The sequence below is a fragment of the Homo sapiens genome, chromosome 3 (assembly GCF_000001405.40).
Source record: "Homo sapiens chromosome 3, GRCh38.p14 Primary Assembly".
NCBI classification, from domain to species: Eukaryota; Metazoa; Chordata; class Mammalia; order Primates; family Hominidae; genus Homo; species Homo sapiens.
In genome coordinates this window covers 167,174,582-167,194,917 of record NC_000003.12, presented here as the reverse complement: position 1 = coordinate 167,194,917, position 20,336 = coordinate 167,174,582, and the positions used below count along the sequence as shown (strand labels likewise).

The following is a 20,336-nucleotide window of genomic DNA, read 5'->3' as shown; positions in this document are numbered from 1 at the left end:
CCTGGTGCTCCTGAAAGAGAATACACTGAGCCTTGGGAAGTTCCTATACAAGGGAAAGGCCTGAAGCTTGAGCTTCATTAGCTTCTTGGTGAACCAGCCTCTAGTCTTGTAGGTCAAACTACAGTTCCTTAAATTCTTTCTACCTAAGGTAAGGATAAGTCCTGGTGGCTCTGAGGAGCCCAAGCCAGCAGTTGGGATAGTCAAAAATGTCCATTTGAGGAAAATGAGGACTAGTGGTGACAGTGGAAACCAAACAAGTCTAATGAAAATGTCATTGTTTATCTTCTGCTTTAGCCCCCAGAATTTTGTCATTGACAGCTCTCTGGCTGATCATTGCCATATTTTTTATATTTGCTCAGTTTTACATACTTCTCACTTCCAAATTCTGAAATACGCACAGGAGTCCAAGATCAAAACACTACTTTCATTCTGTGAAATAGTTTGGGGAGTTAACCTTGGACTTGAAATTGAAATACATCCTGCTTCCTCTGCCATGAATTCATTCATTCACCCAGTCATAGACAGGATGCTAGATAATGCATATCTTCCCTTCTAACCTTGCATAGGCCATGTCTAGTGTGGAGGACTGAATTCCAAGGGGAGATGCAAGTAAACTGAGCTTTTACAGTTCTGTGCTCTATGAATCAGTTTTAAAAATGAATATACATATATATATATATATATATATTTAGTACATATTTAGTACATGTGATATTTTGAAACATAGTAATAATTAATCAGGGTATTTGGGATAGCCATTACCTCAAACATTCACCATTTCTTTGTGTTGTGAACATTTTGAATCTTCTCATCTAGCTATTTTGAAATATACAGTAAATTATTACAAAATCTAGTCACCCTACCAGTTATTGAACACTAAAACTTATTCTATCTAACTTTATGTTTGTACCCATTCCCAACCTCTCTTCAACTTCCCCCAACCTTTCTAACTTCTGGCAACCATTAATCTATTCTCTACTTCCATGAGACCAACCATTTTAGCTCTCACATATGAGTGAGAAAATGCAATATTTGTGTTTCTGTGTCTGGCTTATTTCATTTAACATAATAACCAGCAGTTTCACCCATGTTGCTGCAAATGACCAGATTTTATTCATTTTAATGGCTGAATAGTTTTCCACTGATTATATAGGTCACATTTTCTTTATCCATTCATTTGTTGATGAACACTTAGGTTAATTCCATATTTTGGCTATTGTGAATAGTGCTGCAATAAACATGAGACAACTTTGGAATTCTCCCATGGGAGAACATGGGAGAACCACCAAAATGGTGGTGGAGAAGCAAGCTGACTATATTACTCACCACAGAAAACCAAAAACAAACATGCATTGCCAGGGAACCCAAGATTGTAGGGAACTACAATTGTTCCTGTCTCAATCTCAATAGAAGCATAAGAGTACATAGATGGACAAATACCACTGAGGATAGCCAGAGACAAAGAGGGGAGGCAGGATGAACATCTCTAACCCTGAAATCTCTGCTCTGTAACTCTGTCAAAAAGAAGAAAAATCAGAATGGCTGTTCAGCAACAGAATGTGGTGAAAGGTTTGTTTTCACAGATTTCCTGGGCACAAACTACCACACAGCCTTCCCACACTACCAGGTTAGCCCCTTTGGAACCACCCCCATTCAGGACATGTGATACTTTGATTGTTTACTAGAACTGAGGCAAATCTGGGTTTAAGGTGCCATTTAATTCCAAAATGTAGGCAATAACCTAGTGGGGAAAAAAGAAAGACAACCAACAGGTAAATTACAGAGAATCTCTGAGCCAACCTAGACAACAAAAGCCAAAACAAGCCAGGCAGAGAAGACTGGAATAAATAATAAATACTTCAATGCAAAGACATAGGTGTACACCCACAAAAACGAACAGCAAGCAGGAAACCATGACCTCCTCAAAGGGTCAGAGCAAGGAACCAGTGAGTGACTCTGAAAAAATGGTGACATGTGAATTATCTGACCAAGAATCTAAAATAGCAGTTTAAAGTAAACTCTGTGATCTCTGAGATAACACAGAAAAGTAATTCAAACATTTTCCAAAGAAATGTAATGAAGAGATTAAAATAATTTTAAAAATCAAAGAAAAATCTTAAAGCTGAGAAATACATTTGCTGAACTAAAAAATTTGATAGAGGCTCTTAACAGCAGAAAAGATCAGGCAGAGAAAAGAATCAGTGAGCTTGAAAACAGGCTATTTGAAAATGCATAGTCAGGGAAAAAAGAATGAAAAGGAGTGAATATTACCTATAAGATAGAGAAAATGACCTCAAAAATGCAAATCTAAGAATTATTGGTGTTCAAAAAGGAGCTGAGCAAGAGAAAGGGATACGATTAAAGAGAACATCCTGAAAGCAACAAGAGCAAACAAGCAAATAACATATAAAGAAGCTCAAATTCATACAGACTTTTCAACAGAAACTATACAGGCCAGGAGGGATTAGAATGATGTTTTCAAAGTCCTGAAAGAGGAAAATCCTTTTTATTCAAGAATACTATACCCAGCAAAGGTCTCACTGAAACATGAAAAAGAGAAATAAAGTCTTTCCTAGACAAACAAAAGTTGAGAGAATTTACTACCACCAGATATCTTACAAGAAATGCTAAAGGCGACTCTTCAATCTGAAAGAAGTAAATAACAATGTGAAAACAAATAAACAATGTGAAAATAAAACATTTGAAAGTATAAAACCCACTGGGAAAATTAAGTTACACAGACAAACTCAGAACATTCTAGTACTATAAATATGTGCAATCCACTCATAACTAAAAGTATGAAGCCCAAAATATAAAACTATCAAAAACAATAATACCTACAGTAACCTGTCAAGAGACAAGCAATATAAAAATATGTAAGTTGATAAAAGATAAAACCTAACTATGGGGAGATTGAGATAAAATGAAGAGGTTTTTTTTGTTATCTAAGATAAGCTGACATTTGATTAAAATAACTTGCTCTATATATATATATATATATATATATATATATATATATATGATTTTTGTAAGCTTCATGATAACCACATTGCAAAAACATTCACTAAAATGAAAAGGAACAAGTAAAGCGTACTACTAGAGAAAATCACTCTTGAGGAGAGAAAAATGAGGGCCTTCACAACAAGATCACAAGATCCCCTACTAATACTTCTGTATTAGTCTGTTTTCACACTGCTGATAAAGACATACCAGAGACTGGGCAGAAGAAAGAGGTTTAATTGGACTCACAGTTCCACGTGGCTGGGGAGGCTTCACACTCATGGTGGAAGCCAAGGAAGAGCAAGTCACATCTTACGTGGATGGGGGCAGGCAAAGACAGAGCTTGTGCAGAGAAACTCCCATTTTTAAAACCATCAGATCTCGTGAGATTCATTCACTCTCAGGAGAACAGGAGAACAGAACCAGAAACAAACATTCTCATAATTTAATCACCTCCCACTGGGTTCCTCCCACAACATGTGGGAATTGTGGGAGTTACAATTCAAGATGAGATTTGGGTGGGGACACAGCCAAACCGTATCAGAGAAAAGAATATCAATTCCTGAGATGGTGGAAGATCCAGAAATGTGGCAATGGAGAAAGATGATTCCATCCAGAATGGCAAAGCTCATGGAGGCTCTTAATTTATAAATTTGCTGTTGCCTCCACAGTTAGCCACACACATTGCCTGTGCCCTGGTCAGCAGAGACAGATTGTTTCTCTTGATTCTTTAGAGACTGGATGTGACAAAACCTGTTTGGGATTTCCCCAATTCTTACTTTTACAGTGGATGCTCCTAGATCTCTAGAATGAGGTTTCTACTTTAGTAACTTGGTTGAAACAGAGAAAGGTTGGTAGGTCTCTGCAAGTCTCTTGCCCTTTCAGGATGGAACCAGCAGGGTCTATATTCCCCTTGGTGTTCACTGCCTCCAGGACAATGCTGGGAGCTGTCCTAAAGCTTTCAGGCCAGGACTGAGCCATGCCTTAGTGAAGATAAGCATAGACCCTAATTCCTGTACCTGGCTTAGGAGCCCTGGTAGTCTTTTTGCGCCAAGATATTCCTAAGTTCACCTCAAAGTCTGTTCAGCTCACTGGCATCCTCTTGTCAGCACTCTGTGCCCCCACCTCAACTCATTTTGGTGTGAATTTCAGTGAATGGTCCTGCATCAGAGGAGTGATAACAGCTGACCAAGTTGATAATCTCATGACCACACAAAATCTCTAGTGATAAAAACATGGGCCGGACGCGGTGGCTCACGCCTGTAATCCCAGCACTTTGGGAGGCCGAGGTGGGCAGATCACGAGGTCGGGAGATCGAGACCATCCTGGCTAACACAGTGAAACCCTGACTCTACTAAAAATACAAAAAATTAGCCGGGCGTGGTGGCAGGGACCTGTAGTCCCAGCTAGTCGGGAGAATGAGGCGGGAGAATGGCATGAACCCGGGAGGCGGAGCTTGCAGTGAGCCGAGATTGCGCCACTGCACTCCAGCCTGGGCGACAGAGAGAGACTCCGTCTCAAAAAAAAAAAAAAAAAAAAAGTAGGTAAGTTTTAGTTCCTAAGAGAAATGTTATGTATTTTATATTATTTCATCTTAACAATTCCATAGAGATTATTTTATTGATGATGAAATTATGGTTTCACTTTGTCAAAGTTTTTAAAATTGCAAATGATGTAACTGTAGTTGAACAAAACTTTTTTTATGATTCTGAAGACAATGATCTTTCCCTCTATACTATCTAGACATTATGCATATAATGTCCAAAACATATGCATATACAAGACATGACAATATTTATGAAAAAGGATGTAATTTCAGCCTTGTTTGTGATAAAAAGGAAAATAGAAAACTAAATGTCTATCAATAACATATTTCTAACTAAAATACATGTGTCCATGTGATTCTATGACATTATGAAAAAGTAAGGTAGCTCTACCTGGACCCTGACAGAAAGCTGTTTAGTGAAAAAGGAGGTTTCAAATAACTAAGTAAAATATGAAAAATCTGTTCAAATTGTCTGTCTGCTGCAATGGTGGAATTGTCATTATATATTTATCCAAAAACCCATTGAATGTAGAGCATTAAGAGTGAACATAATGTAAACTATGAATTTTGGGTGATAATAATATATCAGTGCAGTTTCACAGCTCATAATAAATGTATCACTCTGGTGTGGGATGTTGATTGTGGCATAGGCTATTCCCTTGGGATGGGGTTATATGGGAAGTCTGTATGTTCCTCTAAATTTTGCTGTGAACATAAATCTGTTCTAAAATGAAAGTCTATTTTAAAAATGTATACGTCTGTATGAAGTAGACAATATTCTGAAAAAGAATTGTACTTAACTATTGATAGTTATTACTCTGGGATGTGGAATTTATGGGAATCTGGTGTGTGTGGATGTGTGTGTATGTGTGTGTTTGTGTACACATGAGTGTGTGCATGTCTAGCATTCACTTAAGCATACTTCAGAATTATTTTTGAAACTTCTGAGAAGCACCACACACTTGTTCTGGGCTTGCAGACATCCGTCACAACTTGGAAGGCACATATTTTCATATTAACTGGGGTGAGTGTAAGAAAGAGTCTCCAGATGCCAATATGAAGAGAAATTTTCTAAAAGTGGGTATATTTTGTTCAGATAACAGGGATATATTTTCTCCTCCAATATCTGAAGGCTTTGTATGACTTTCAGTCTTCTAGAGTCATGTAATCTGAGGATATAGCGGACAGGTACTTTGTCCTGTTATGTTAAATTTTTGGCAATTTAACATAATTTGCATTTCAGATGATACTCTAGACCAAACTTAATTCTGAGAAAGAGGCATTCTCAAATATTTTATGAACTCCCAAATTGTAGGAATTTTCCAAGTTCACTCCCATGTCTATACATCTCTCAATCCCAAAATGCAACAATTCACCTTCATAAGATAGGTAAAGTATGAAAATCACCTGTAGCTTTTGTCCAGAAGATTCTTACTGTGTCTTTTTAAATCTCAGGGTTTCCTCAATAACTTCTTTTAAGGCTTTTTGCCAAAAAGCCCCAGCTTTGTTGTAATATGCCAGATCAGAAGAAACCTACACCCTTTACCTTTTCCACCACAGGTTTGTTTATCTGGGACACTCTCACCTAGGACAAGGTCAAGAATCAGACTTGCTTATTCAGGTGTTTTAACTAAAGCAACTGGCAGTAAATGAATAAAGGAAAGTTATTATGTAGATAAATGACAAATAAAAGTTATCAGGTCTTGAAGTCAGCAAAAGGAAAAGGAAATAAGTTTGTTTGTGGTCTTAACACCTCTTATCATAAATATTAGATGTGTGTCTCACTCTCAGTAACATGGTGATAAATATTTTAAATTACATTGTAGATTTTTTTCTTATGCTGATCACAAACTGATCAAATTTATAATATTTATTTATCCTTTAAGATTTATTTTAGACATCATAGCCTATCAGAAAATTTTAGTGCCCCTCTTAAAGCGTTATAAATGTTTCCCTTGTACATAATTCCATTACAGAATTTTCACATCGTTTTACACAATCTGTCTAAGTGTCATCTTCTCCCACTGATTGGTGAGATTCTTTAAAAATACATATTTTATATCTATCTTTTTTTATCTGAAGATTTTACTAAAAGGTCAGAAGCAGTAGATACTCAATGAATGTTTTGATAATTGAAAGTATGAATGAATGTATAAACAAAATCTTCCCTGAACACCAATACTATGTTAAAAAATTGCCTGGTTTCTTTCCCCATGTTTTCCTTCCAAATAATTGTTTTTATGGTAATTCCACTGATCCCATGGAGTTTAATTACATTGCCTTTAATCTGAGTAAGATTTTTTCTCTATTGTGATTTCTTTCTTACAATCCCAAATTTTCCTGTTTGTCTTTAATGTAGACTTTGGAAAATACGTAATTCTGGAAATTCCTAGGATTCCAGGGTTTGCTAGTTTAAGCCATTCTACCAATTATTATAACAGTAGAATGCATTGCAAATATTAACTGTTTTATCTGGTAAGTTCCTGTTGTGTGATTCAGTTCAGGAAATGAACATCGTAAACCATATGTAAGTTTTCATAAATATTGATTAATGAAAAGGTGGGCAGTGTTATGTCCAACTCCAACATTCATTTTGTACCCCTTGCCACCTTGGATAGTAATATACTTAAGTATATATTTTCCACGAGTAGTCTGCTTCAGACATATTTGTTGGGCTCATTTCAATTTATTATTCAAATGCTAATTGGAGCTGCCGAATGTTGCATGACTTACAGCTAATGTTCCAAATAATGTTTGCTTTCATTTTACTAAGCTATAGCACAAGGGAATTTAGTGTGACAATGGAAGGTGCTGTCACTCCTAGTAAAAAGAAATATGTTGTTTGATTCTAGATCCTCTGAAAACCTTCAATGTCAGTCACAAATTACCACTTCTCTACTTGCCAGGATTATTCCAGCTTTGCTCTGATGCACACGCTATTATCTGGCATTAGCAGAATTGGCTCTGAGCACTCCAGATGGGCTACCAATATCCCATGAGCTACTCTTTCTGGGGTAGGGTGAAGGGAGAAGATTTTGCATAGTAAAATTCTCACGTAGAACCACCAATCTGTGATTTTGCTACTCCTTGTCAAAGATGGATTTCTCACTATTACCACTATTCTGCTAGATAAGTACTTGTTACTTTTGCCGTTTCACTTGGCAAACAAGAATTCTTCATTTTAATAAGGCTGGTATCTTATATATTATAATGATAGGAGAGGGGAAATTAAACAAAACCGAACAAAATAAAGCTCATCAGCTTGGGTCTACGGTAGCAAACCTTCCCTATTTTAGAATTTTTTACTCTGCAAAATAAATGGTCAAAGCCCCCAAAGCCAAATACTTCAGGGTTGTCACTTTTTCCTGTATAGAAATATAGTATTCCTATTGCAGGTGATGCTTCATCCTCACCTTGGAAATAAAAGTACATTTTAAAGATGAATAGGTAAAATTTAAAATGAGAAAAATATGACACACATTTTAATACCTGCAACAAAAATCAGCAAAATATGACAAGCTATGGAAGCTTTGTGACTATGGCGACCTATTCAATGTGACTTCATTCCTCTATCTGTATCAGCAATATATTTTAACATGAGTATTTCTTTTTAAATCTTCAGCTTAAACTTCTCTGCTCATTTTATTGATTTTGTTGGTTGCAGAAACCCTTTATGTATATATTTGACTGTTATAATGTAAATTTACTGAGGTCTGTCATTTATTTTGAATCTGTGCTTCTCTTTGTAATGTCCTTCTGAAGCAAAGGAATTAAGCAATGTAGTTGCAGGTACCTTGGGAGTAAAACCAAGGGGATCCAAAATGAAATAAGAAGGGCAAAAGTTAAGCATTATCTCAGAAAGCCTTCTTTCAGATCTGCCTCTTAAAATTATTACTCCTTGTTTATAACTGCTTTTCCAATGAGAAATTAGCTTTTTCCATCCCTTCTTCCCTCTCTTCCTTTCCTTCCTTCCTTCCTTCCTTCCTACAAATATTTGAGTACATAGCACTATGGCAGCCAGTATGTTAGCTGCTTATGAACAACTCTTGGTCCCTAGTTTCATTTTATTTAGTTGTCTATGTACAAAGGGCATGGATAGACCATGCTTCAAATGGATATAAAATTGGAAGCCCCCTTTTGAAATAAAGTAATCAGTAATATGCAAGAAAAATGGAAATTAAAACAAAATACTCTATTACTCATATATTAATTAAAAATATTATATATACCATTTTTATCTACCAGTAAGTATAAGATATAATAAAATTGTTAAAGCTTCAATTGTGAGCAGAAACATAAGCAAAAATCTTTCTGGAAAAACATGAATAGTATTTATGAAGGAAAATAAAGTATTTATCTCCTTTGCTATAATGCTGCATATTGAAATTTACCCCAAGAGGAAAAAAAGAAAATTTGGCTGTGTATAAAGATATTCAATGGAGTCTTCTTTATAATGCTAATAAAATTAATATAGCCCAAATGTCCACCAATGAGGAAAGGCTAAGTCAATTATATCTTAACTACCTAGATTAATGTACATATGGAAAATGGTCATTATGAATATGTTTCTATTAAAAATACTTACTTGTAGGTGGAAAAGCAGTATGTGTTGAATTCAGTCATAGAATTACAACATATATAGGCCGTACATGGAAAAATGAAAAAATGTAACATTCTGGAATGGCAAGGTTGTGAATGATATTAAAGAATGCTAGAACTGCAGTTTCAATGTTTTTATGTGCTATCAAAAAGCTGAAAGATAATCTACTTTTTGTGATAATAATAGGACTTAAGTATTCAGCAAGCAAAATAATATAACCTCTTTTCTATTTTCATTTTATTTAAGGTAAAATTTATATAGAAAAATCCACGATTTTTATTTTGTAATTATAAAAGTGTTGAAAAAGTATAAATGTATGTAACTGGAACCACAATCAAAATATAGAATGAAATATCACAAAAGTTCCATTCCTATTCCACCAAATTTTACTGTACCTCTAATAATCAACCACTGTCCCCATCCTCAGCTTTGGTTTTTATTGACCTATAGTTTTACTTCCGAAAGGATGTTATATAACTGGAATTATATACATAGCTTCTTGGGTCTGGCTTCTTTCACTCAGCATAATAGATTTGAGATTTTAAAATGCTGTTGCATGTATTAGTATTTTTTTCTTTTTATTGCTAATTGGTTTTTCATTGTATAGATGTACCACATTATTTTAATCCATTCTACAGTGGAGAAACGTTTAGGTTTGCTCCAGTTTGGAACAATTACAAACCAAGTCTCTATATATACATTAATGTATAGGGTATTTGTTTTCCATTTTAATTGAGATAAATTTAGATTCACATGCATTTGTAAGAAATAATACAGAGAGATCATGTGTACAATTTACCTAGTGTCCCCTAATTGTAACATTTTATGAAGCTACAGTATAATACCACAAACAGTATTGTTGACAATAATGTTGATGATACTGACAATAATTTGGGTTCTTATATAAATTCTTTATTTTGGCAGGCACTCAGCCTGTTTAGGTGTAGCATGCACATTCTGGCCTACTTTTATGGGCTGTATTACCAAATTTAAATTGCCTGGTTACTTTGTTCTGCTTGGTTTACCTGTTGCCACTGCGGCTCCCACTGGTTCCTGCTGGTACTGCTTTCGGAGGTGGAAGGACATTCCCAGGCTAGGACACTGGGTGTCTCTGGGTAGCAGAGATGGATCTCAGGCCTGTTGGAATTATGAGGACTCCTGGACCTGGCTGCTTAATGTAACCGGTTTCCTGTTGACTATTCCTTGAGCCCATCCATTATATATAGGTTTTTATGTGAAAATAAGTTTTCATTTCACTTGGGTAGATACCAGGGAGTAAGATTTCTGGGTCATATGATGAGGGCATATTTAGTATTATAAAGAACTGCCAAGGCCAAGCGGGGTGGCTTGGGCGATCACTTGAAGGAGTTCGACACCAGCCTGGCCAACTATCTCTATCATTTGGCCTAGGTTTGAATAAAGAATAGGGAGCCTGGATAGTGCATAACATCTCAACACAAAGGTCAAGAAGCAACAGGCATGCACCAAAGGAAAACAGCCATGTTATGTGAATCAGTTTTCAAGGCTTAACTTTTTCTCTTGGCATAATGAATTTGAAAAATTCTGAAATTTTATTTTCTTTTTACATATGCATAAATGAAAGTTATTTATGTTTCTCCTATGGGTATTCAATTTGTTTTTAGTACCATTTGTTGAAAAGACAATCCCTTTCACTGAATTTCTTCACGTGTTTATTGATAATCAATTAAACATAGAATTGCAAGAAAAATGGTCTATTTCTGAACTCATCATTCATTTTCATTAGTCTATAGATGTATCCTTTTTACAACACAGAATTGTCTTTACTGTAGATTAAAAATAAGTCTAAGAATCAGTTCTCATGATTCCTCAGACTTTTCCTTTTTTGTTGGGAACAGGCCCCTAAATCTGGCCATAAACAGGTCCCCAAATCTGGCCATAAAAAATAATCTCTGCAGCACTGTGACATGCTCATGATGGCTATGATGCCCATCCTGAAGGTTGTTGGTTTACCAGAATGAGGGCAAGGAACACCTGGCCCACCCAGGGCAGAAAACTGCTTAAGGTGTTCCTGAACCACAAACAATAGCATGAGTGATCTGTGCCTTACGGACATGTTCCTGTGGCGGATTACTAGCCAGAGCCCATCCCTTAGTTTCCCATTTTAGTTAAATTATAATCTACAGGAACAATGCTTATCACTGGCGGCTTCCTGTCGATAAATATGTGGGTAAAACTCTGTTTGTGGCTCTCAGCTCTGAAGGCTGTCAGCCCCCTGATTCCCACTCCGCACTCTATATTTCTGTGTGTGTGTCTTTAATTCCTCTAGCGCCGCTGGGTTAGGGTCTCCCTGATCGAGCTGGTCTTGGCAAGTGGTGCCCATACATGGGGCTTGAACCCGGGTCAAAGGGTCGCCGGAGCAATGGTTGGAGAACGTGGAACTATGCTGGAGGACACCCGAGTACTCTTAAGCAATCCCTGTGGTGAGTAAGAAGGGGAGCTTGGAAACATCAGGGTAATAGTGGGACAAGTGTGGGCTCTGGTTGGTTCCACCTTGGAACCTTTTCACACTGATGATGAGGAGGAAGGAGAGTATAACGAAGTAACAGAAGAGGTGACAGAGCAGGTTTGTTTGCCAGCTAAAGCTAAAGTGGCAAAGGAGGGAGAGGTTTGTCCCTACCCTTCTGCACTCTGTCATTATTTTGAAGAAAAAGAGTGGCTAACCCTCCAGATCTTTCTTTTCCAGAGAACACTGGCTGAAAAATAGCGGCCCCAGTGACTGTTTGGGCAGCGCCTAGAGCGACCACTCTCAATTCTATTCGGGCAGGAATTCAGCAAGCTAGATGAGAGGGTGATATAGAGGCATAGCAGTTCCCTGTTAGGATACACCCCCCAGATCAACAGGGAAATAATATAGCTACATTTGAGCCTTTTCCTTTTAAATTACTCAAAGAATTTAAACAAGCTATTAATCAATATGGACCAACAGTCCTTTTGTAATGGGACTGTTAAAGAATATTGCTGTTTGCAGTCAGATGATTCCTATTGACTGGGACACTCTTACTCAAGCTTGCCTGACTCCTGCTCAGTTATTAAAATTTAAAACTTGGTGGGCAGATGAAGCTTCCATTCAGGCTGCTTGCAATGCCCAGGCCCAACCTCAAATTAATATAACTGCAGACCAACTTTTGGGGGTTGGTGACTGGGCTGGTTTAGATGCAAAAGTGGTCATGCAGGATGATGCCATAGAAGAGCTTAGAGGAGTGTGCATTAGAGCTTAGGAAAAAATCGCTTCAGGAGGAGAGCAATACCCTTCCTTTAGTGCTGTAAAGCAGGGACCAAAAGAACCGTATGCAGATTTTACAGCTCAGATATAGGAGTCTCTTAAAAAGGTGATTGCAGATTTGGCTGCTCGGGATATAGTGTTGCGGTTACTAGCTTTTGACAATGCTAATCCCAAGTGCCAGGTTGCTCTGCCACCTATTAGGGGGAAAGTGCATTTAGTTGATTATATCAAGGCCTGTGATGGTATTGGAGGTAATCTGCATAATGCTACTTTGTTGGCACAAGCCATAGCAGGACTGAAAGTGGGTAGAGGATATACTCCATTTCCTGGAGCTTGTTTTAACTGTGGGAAGCATGGTCACACTAAAAAAGACTGTAAAAAAAATCAGCGAGTCAGGCTGCCAGTTGGGGGGAAAAAGAAAACTGCTGAGTCTGGAATATGTCCAAAATGCAAGAAAGGAAAACACTGGGCTAATCAGTGTCACTCTAAGTTTAATAAAGATGGGACCCCAATTTCGGGAAACACCATGAGGGGCCCGTCCCAGGCCTGCCCCCCACCACAGCTGGTAGTGCCACAGTAGATTTATGCTGCACAAAAGATGTTAGCCTTCTGCCTGGGGAACCCCTACAAAAAGTGCCAACAGGAGTCTATAGACCCTTGCCAGCGGGGACAGTAGGATTACTTCTAGGTAGGTCTAGTTTAAATTTAAAAGGAGTGCAAGTACATACAGGAGTTATTGATTCAGATTACAATGGGGAAATTCAAGTTGTTATATCTACTTCTGTTCCCTGGAAAGCAGAGCCAGGAGAGTGTATAGCACAGCTCCTGATTGTGTTGTATGTGGAAATGGGGAAAAGTGAAATTAAACGAACAGGAGGATTTGGAAGCACAAATAAGGCAAAGCAGCTTATTGGGTGAATCAAATTATTGAAAAACATCCTGCCTGTGAAACAACTATTCAGGGAAAGAAATGTAAAAGTTTGTTAGATACAGGAGTGAACATTTCAATCATTTCTCTACATCATTGGCCTTCCGCATGGTCAATTCAACCTGCTCAATTTAACATAGTTGGAGTTAGTAAAGCCCCTGAAGTATATTAAAGTAGTTATATTTTGTATTGTGAAGGGCCTGATGGACAACCTGGGACCATTCAACCAATTGTAGCTTCTGTACCTATAAATTTATGGGGGAGAGATTTATTACAACAATGGAGAGCACAAGTTCTAATTCCAGAGCAATTATACAGCCCTCAAAGTCAACATATGATTGATGAAATGGGGTATGTCCTTGGTATGAGACTAGGAAAAAATTTGCAAGGTTTGAAGGAACCGCTTCAAGTGGAAAGACAAAGTTCCTGCCAAGGTTTAGGGTATCATTTTTGATGGCGGCAGTTGTTAAGCCTCCAGAACCTATACCTTTAAAATGGTTAACAGATAAGCCAATTTGGATAGAACAATAGCCACTAACTTAAGAGAAACTGGAGGCTTTAGAGGACTTATTTACTGAACAATTAGAAAAAGGACACATAGTTCCAACATATTCCCCCTGGAATTCTCCAGTCTTTGTTATTAAGAAAAAAATCAGGTAAATGGGGAATGTTGACAGATCTTAGAGCCATTAATTCAGTTATACAACCCATGGGGGCATTACAGCCAGGATTGGCTTCTCCTGCTATGATTCCAAAAAATTGGCCTTTAATAGTCATAGATTTAAAAGACTGTTTCTTTACTATCCCCTTAGCTGAACAAGACTGTGAACAGTTTGCGTTTACAATTCCTGCGGTAAACAACCTGCAGCCTGCTAAGCATTTTCATTGGAAAGTGTTGCCACAAGGCAAGTTAAACAGTTCAACAATTTGCCAGACTTATATAGGGCAAGCAGTTGAATCTACCCATAAAAAATTTTCACAGTGTTATGTTATTCATTATATGGAGGATATACTTTGTGCTGCCCCCACTCAAGAAATATTATTCCAATGTTATGATCACTTGCAAAATTTGATTTTTCACACTGGTTTAATTATAGCTCCTGACAAAATTCAGACTACTACTCCTTACTCCTACTTAGGAATGTTAGTAAATGACACTACAATGGTGCCACAGAAAGTAACCATTCGTAGGGATCAATTGAAAACATTAAATGACTTTCAAAAATTACTATGGGACATCAATTGGATACGACCTGCTCTAGGCATTCCTACTTATGCCATGAGTAGTCTGTTTTCTATCCTTAGAGGAGATCCTAGTCTCACTAGCCCTCAGCAATTAACAAAGGAGGCTGAGGCAGAGTTACAGCTAATTGAGAAACAAGTGCATAATGCTCAAATAAATAGAATAGATCCAGAGAAGACTCTAGATTTGCTCTTTTTTTCAACCCAGCATTCACCTACTGGTGTTGTTGTTCGAGAGCAAGATCTTGTAGAGTGGCTTTTTCTTCCACATACTAATTCACAGACTTTGACTTCTTATTTGGATCAAATTGCTACTATGATAGGAAATGGGAAAACTTGGATTGTTAAATTACATGGATGTGATCCTGGAAAAACTATTGTCCTCACGAAGGCAAAAATACCGCAAGCCTTTATAAATAGTCTTACTTGGCAAACCCATTTATTTGACTTTGTGGGTATTCTCGATAACCATTTCCTAAAATGAAACTGTTTCAGTTTTTGAAATTAACTAATTGGATTCTCCCTAAAATAACTAAATTTAAACCAATTGAAGGTGCTGAAAATGTCTTCACAGATGGGTCTAGTAATGGTAAAACTTCTTATTCTGGCTCAAAAGGTAAAGTTTTCCAGATGCCCTATACTTCAGCTCAAAAAGCGGAGCTTGTAGCTGTAATTGAGGTATTGACTGCTTTTGATATGCCTATTAATGTGATTTCTGATTCTTCATATGTGGTTCATTTCACACAATTAATTGAAAATACTCAGTTATGATTTCATACAGATGAACAACTGATGACTTTATTTACCCAATTGCAAACAGCAGTTAGGAATAGAATGCACCCTTTTTACATCACTCACATTAGGGCTCATACCCCTCTTCCAGGACCTTTGACTGCAGGGAATCAAATGGCTGATGGCCTAGTTGCTACTGCAATATCTAATGCCAGACACTTTGACAATTTAGCCCATGCTAATGCCTCTGGTCTCAAACGCAAATACAGCATTACCTGAAAAGAAGCTGAAGCTATTATCCAGCAATGCCCAACTTGCCAAATGGTGCATTCCTCATCTTTTAGAGGAGGAGTTAATCCTCAAGGATTGGAACCTAATTCTCTTTGGCAAATGGGTGTCACCCATGTTCCCTCATTTGGGAGACTAGTTTATGTACATGTATGTGTGGACACCTTTTCTCACTTTGTCTGGGCTACATGCCAATCATGAGAGTCTTCTGCCTGTGTTAAATGTCACCTTTTGCAGTGTTTCTCGGTGATGGGCATTCCAGCTTCTCTTAAAATGGACAATGCCCCAGGCTATACTAGCCAAGCTCTCTCTATGTTTTTCTCTATATGGAATATTAAACACATTACTGATATCCCATATAATTCTCAAGGACAAGCCATAGTGGAAAGAATGAATCTCTCCCTGGAGCAGCAGTTGCAAAAGCAAAAGCGGGGAGACAGGGACTAAGGCACACCACATATGCGATTGAATCTAGCATTATTGACTTTAAATTTTTTGAGCCTGACTAAAGGCCAGATGCTATCAGCAGCTGAACAGCATCTACAGAAACCAGATGCAAAGAAAGAAGCAGAACAACTGGTTTGGTGGAGAGATCCGATAACAAAAAGTTGGGAAGCAGGTAAAATAATAACTTGGGGTAGAGGTTATGCTTGTGTTTCTCCAGGACCTTATCAGCAGCCAATTTGGGTGCCGTTGAGACATCTGAATCCTTATCATGAGCCAGATGCCGAAGAAGAGATTCTGGGAGGAACCTGAGGATCCCCCAGTTGCAGCCATGTCAAGACTGATGCTGAGGAGGACCCCAACTGTCACGAGCAACACCCGTCGAACACAGCCACCTACCTGTGGACAGATCACGAAGCTGTCACAGATGGCGGAAGAAAACCTGAGGAAAGCAGGACAACCAGTCACAGTGAGTAATTTAATGATAGCTATGATAGCGGTGATCACCATTGCCAAGAGTATTCCTTTAGCAAGGGCTGACACAGAGAATAATTATACTTATTGGGCATATTTACCTTTTACACCACTTCTACGGCTTGTAACTTGGCTAGACACCCCAGTGGAGGTATACACTAATGATAGCTCTTGGATGCTAGGTCCTACAGATGATAGAGGCCCATCTCACCCACATGAGGAAGGAACTGTTATGAATATTTCTTTAGGGTATGAACATCCGCCTATCTGTTTGGGAAAGGCCTCTAGTTGCCTACCCCCTTGCTATCAATCTTGCCTGGCAATAATGCTTGGATGTAATCACTTTATGACACAGTTGCATGTGCTTTCTGGTCTCAGTATTTACCATAATGAATCTCCTCCTATAATTGAGACATACCGCCCTCAAAAACCTATTTGTAAACAGGATTGGACCTGGTCAGAATAAATGAACGTACTTGTTTGAGAAGATTGCATTGCAGAACAGGCAGAGGTGCTGCACAATGATTCCTATGGAATCGTTATTGATTGGTCCTCTAAGGGGATGTTTAGCTTGAATTGAACCTCTCTTTCTGCGTGCCATGGCCACACTATGTTCAGCTGGTCTGAACAAAATGGTCAGATGGTAGAAACGGTAAGAAGTATGGCAAGAGTTCCTATTATCTGGAAACATGGCGGTGTAGTGGCACCTCATCCTCAAATGATATGGCCCACTCTAGGAGCTAAACATAAGGATTTGTGGAAACTATAAGATCAAAATTTGGGAAATAATAAAAAAGTATCTAGAAGGACACTCTACAAAGTTGTCTTTGGATTTTGCAAAATTAAAAGAACAAATATTTAAAGTATCCCAGGGACACCTGACCTTAATGCCAGGAACTGGAGTGCTTGAAGGAGCTGCAGATGGATTAGCAGCTATCAACCCATTAAAATGGATAAAAACACTTGGAGCCTTTATGATTTCTATGATGGTTGGCTATTAATCTGTGTTGTTTGTCTTTGTATAGTCTGCAGATGCGGATCCCAACTCCTGTGAGTAGTTCACAGTGATAAAGCCGCCTTTGCTTTTATCGTCTTGCAAAAACAAAAAGGGGACATGTTAGGAACAGGCCCCCACATCTGGCCATAAACAGGCCCCCAAATCTGGCCATAAACAAAATCTCTGCAGCACTGTGACATGCTCATGATGGCTATGATGCCCATGCTGAAGGTTTTTGGTTTACCAGAATGAGGGCAAGGAACACCTGGGCCACCCAGGGAGGAAAACTGCTTAAGGTGTTCCTGAACCACAAACAATAGCATGAGCGATCTGTGCCTTAAGGACATGTTCCTGCTGCAGATTACTAGCCAGAGCCCATCCCTTTGTTTCCCATTTTAGTTAATTTATAATCTGTAGCAACAGTGCTTATCACTGGCTTGCTGTCAATAAATACATGGGTAAAACTCTGTTCATGGCTCTCAGCCTGTTGAGATATCTGATGTATGGCCCAATGACATAGCCCCAGAAATAGGGAATTAATTTTTTAATATCCTTTCCTCATCTGCAATGGTTATTCATCAGTACCCTGAAGGCAACAAGATTTTGCTACCCTAACCCCAGCTACTAAACACGATCTTGCCCTAAGTTTTCCGTTGGGGAGATGGGTGAGAAGAGTTCAGGCAGAACTTTGTGCCTTTTCTACTTTGCTGTTTTCCTTCTGAGCACTTACACTATGGGGGAAGCTTTTTCAAACTATGAGTGATCCCTATCCAGTGTTTCTTGTGAGCATCATTTAGGTCTTTGGAGGAGAGTACTTGTGTTGGTGTGAATTCACCTAGTATCCTTGGCTTCCAGAAATTCTATATTCTCATTCCTGCTCACATCTGGACTTTAGGAATGGGTTACTAATTGTACCTGAATTCTTCTCTTCATATTGTTTGGCTTCAGGTAGATTCTCTCTATAGTAAGCAAGTGCTCTTATCATTCTTCTCTTTGGATTTATCTCCTTAGATTTTCAGATTAGTTTTTGTGCTGACCTGAACTCTATAATGGGTACCAGAAAAGTGGTGAATTTACTGTTGTTGTAACAATAGAAGTAATGTTTTTTAAGCCTTCTGTATCTTAAGCAGAAGTCACGAGTCTCTCTGGTTTCTTCTAGAAAATGAAAGAATGTAAGGACAACTTTAACTTTCACTTGAATGTGATTTTTAGATTAACCCATTTAGCCAAACTGATCTGAATCATGGACAAAATCATAGCCACACACAATGTATCCAAATTCTTAAAACACTCATGAGAGCAAGTCATAGGTAGTGTTTGAAGTTGCTTTGATCATTTGTGCATAAATATAGAGTTGAAGTAAAACTATCTATAGGCAGTTAGTGTTAAAGGATACTACAACAGGCAGTTATCATGTTAGAAACTACTATTTACATAATCTCATGTCGAAAATTGTACATACATTATCTATAATTTTTACAACACTACTTTCAAGTAGGGGTTATGGTTCCACCTTCTACAGATGAGACAACTGAATTCAAAAAAGATTAAATTATATCCCAGGTAATAGAGGTAATAAAAAGCAGAATCATAATTTGACTCTAAGTTTAATTAGCTCCAGGACAAGTCCTTTTTTTCTTTACAATTTCAAAATTTGTGTAACCTCAGATTTTTTTTTTTTTTTTTGACAGAGTCTCACTTTGTCGCACAGGCTGGAGTGCAGTGGTGCGATCTTGGCTCACTGCAACCTCTGCTTCCCGGGTCAGGTGATTCTCCTGCCTCAGCCTCCTGAGTAGCTGGGGCTACAGGTGCATGCCACCATGCCTGGCTAATTTTTGTATTTTTTAGTACAGACAGGGTTTCACCATATTGGCCAGGCTGGTCTTAAACTCTTGACCTTGTGATCCACCCACCTCGGCCTCCCAAAATGCTGGGATTACAGGCGTGAGCCACCACACCCAGCCTACCTCAGATTTTACTGTACGATTATAGACTTACTGACACTTGAAAGGACCAGTGGATTTTAATTTCCTTGGCTAGATTTAAAACAAAATGACAACAAAAATGAAAAATTGCTATTTGGTCTTCCCTTACCTAAGGATTTGAAAGGAGGAGATGATAGTTGGAGATTTTTGGTTTGTAATAAAGTTTTATTTTTCAACATGGCCTCTATCAGCACTTAGCATATTTTTCATCTTAGAAATGGTTGTAATTCTTAATTTTCTATCTTTTGAAATATGATAGAAGATTTCATATATTAATAGATTTGGTGATTTTACCTGTTTCAAAACAAACATATTAGGTATGTTTTTAATGGGCGGTCAGAGTAAGTTTACCATAAAGCTAAAGAATATAGTTTTAAGGACCCTCATTGACCCCTTCGTTGGCCTAATTATGTATTTGTTATATTGTATTTTCTTAGAACTCCACCTCTCACAAATTGTATAAATTTTAGGGTCCAAAAAACTGGTCCCTTAACCCTGGGCACAATTTTTAATCTTCTAGAGTTTTAGATATTTTCTGCCAGTTTAGCTGTGAAGTTTTGAAATCTGGTCTTATTTAACTTAAGCTTATCATGAAGTCTCACAGAAATCAGACTGCTCTTTAATTAAAAGAATAGTATTCCAATGGGCTATCATTTGTAACAACAAAGCACCTCTGAAAAATGACTTTGGCAAGCAAATTCAATGATATATTTTAGATAATTGCCTATCTTTGTTCACCACTGAAAGCTTTGTGTTGTAAAAATTTAGTAAAACATCAGGAAATATTCAGATATATTGCTTTAGAGACAACATAGGAAATGAGGTCAAGAAAACC

The 20,336-nt window shown here is 37.9% G+C and overlaps 1 protein-coding gene across 2 annotated transcripts in view; it reads left to right on the top strand.

Moving 5' to 3' along the window:
- The window catches only part of ZBBX (zinc finger B-box domain containing), a 229,485-nt gene extending 212,969 nt beyond the window's left edge, over positions 1-16,516 (top strand). The window contains exons 23-24 of one of the 2 annotated variants that reach the window (XR_924174.3): positions 11,455-11,608; positions 16,266-16,516. The gene's annotated coding sequence lies outside the window, so the exon portion shown is untranslated. Of the gene's footprint in view, positions 1-11,454; positions 11,709-16,265 lie in introns of those variants that run through there. The other variant, XM_024453753.2, reaches the window with a different exon arrangement.
- Positions 16,517-20,336: the final 3,820 nt, after the last annotated feature.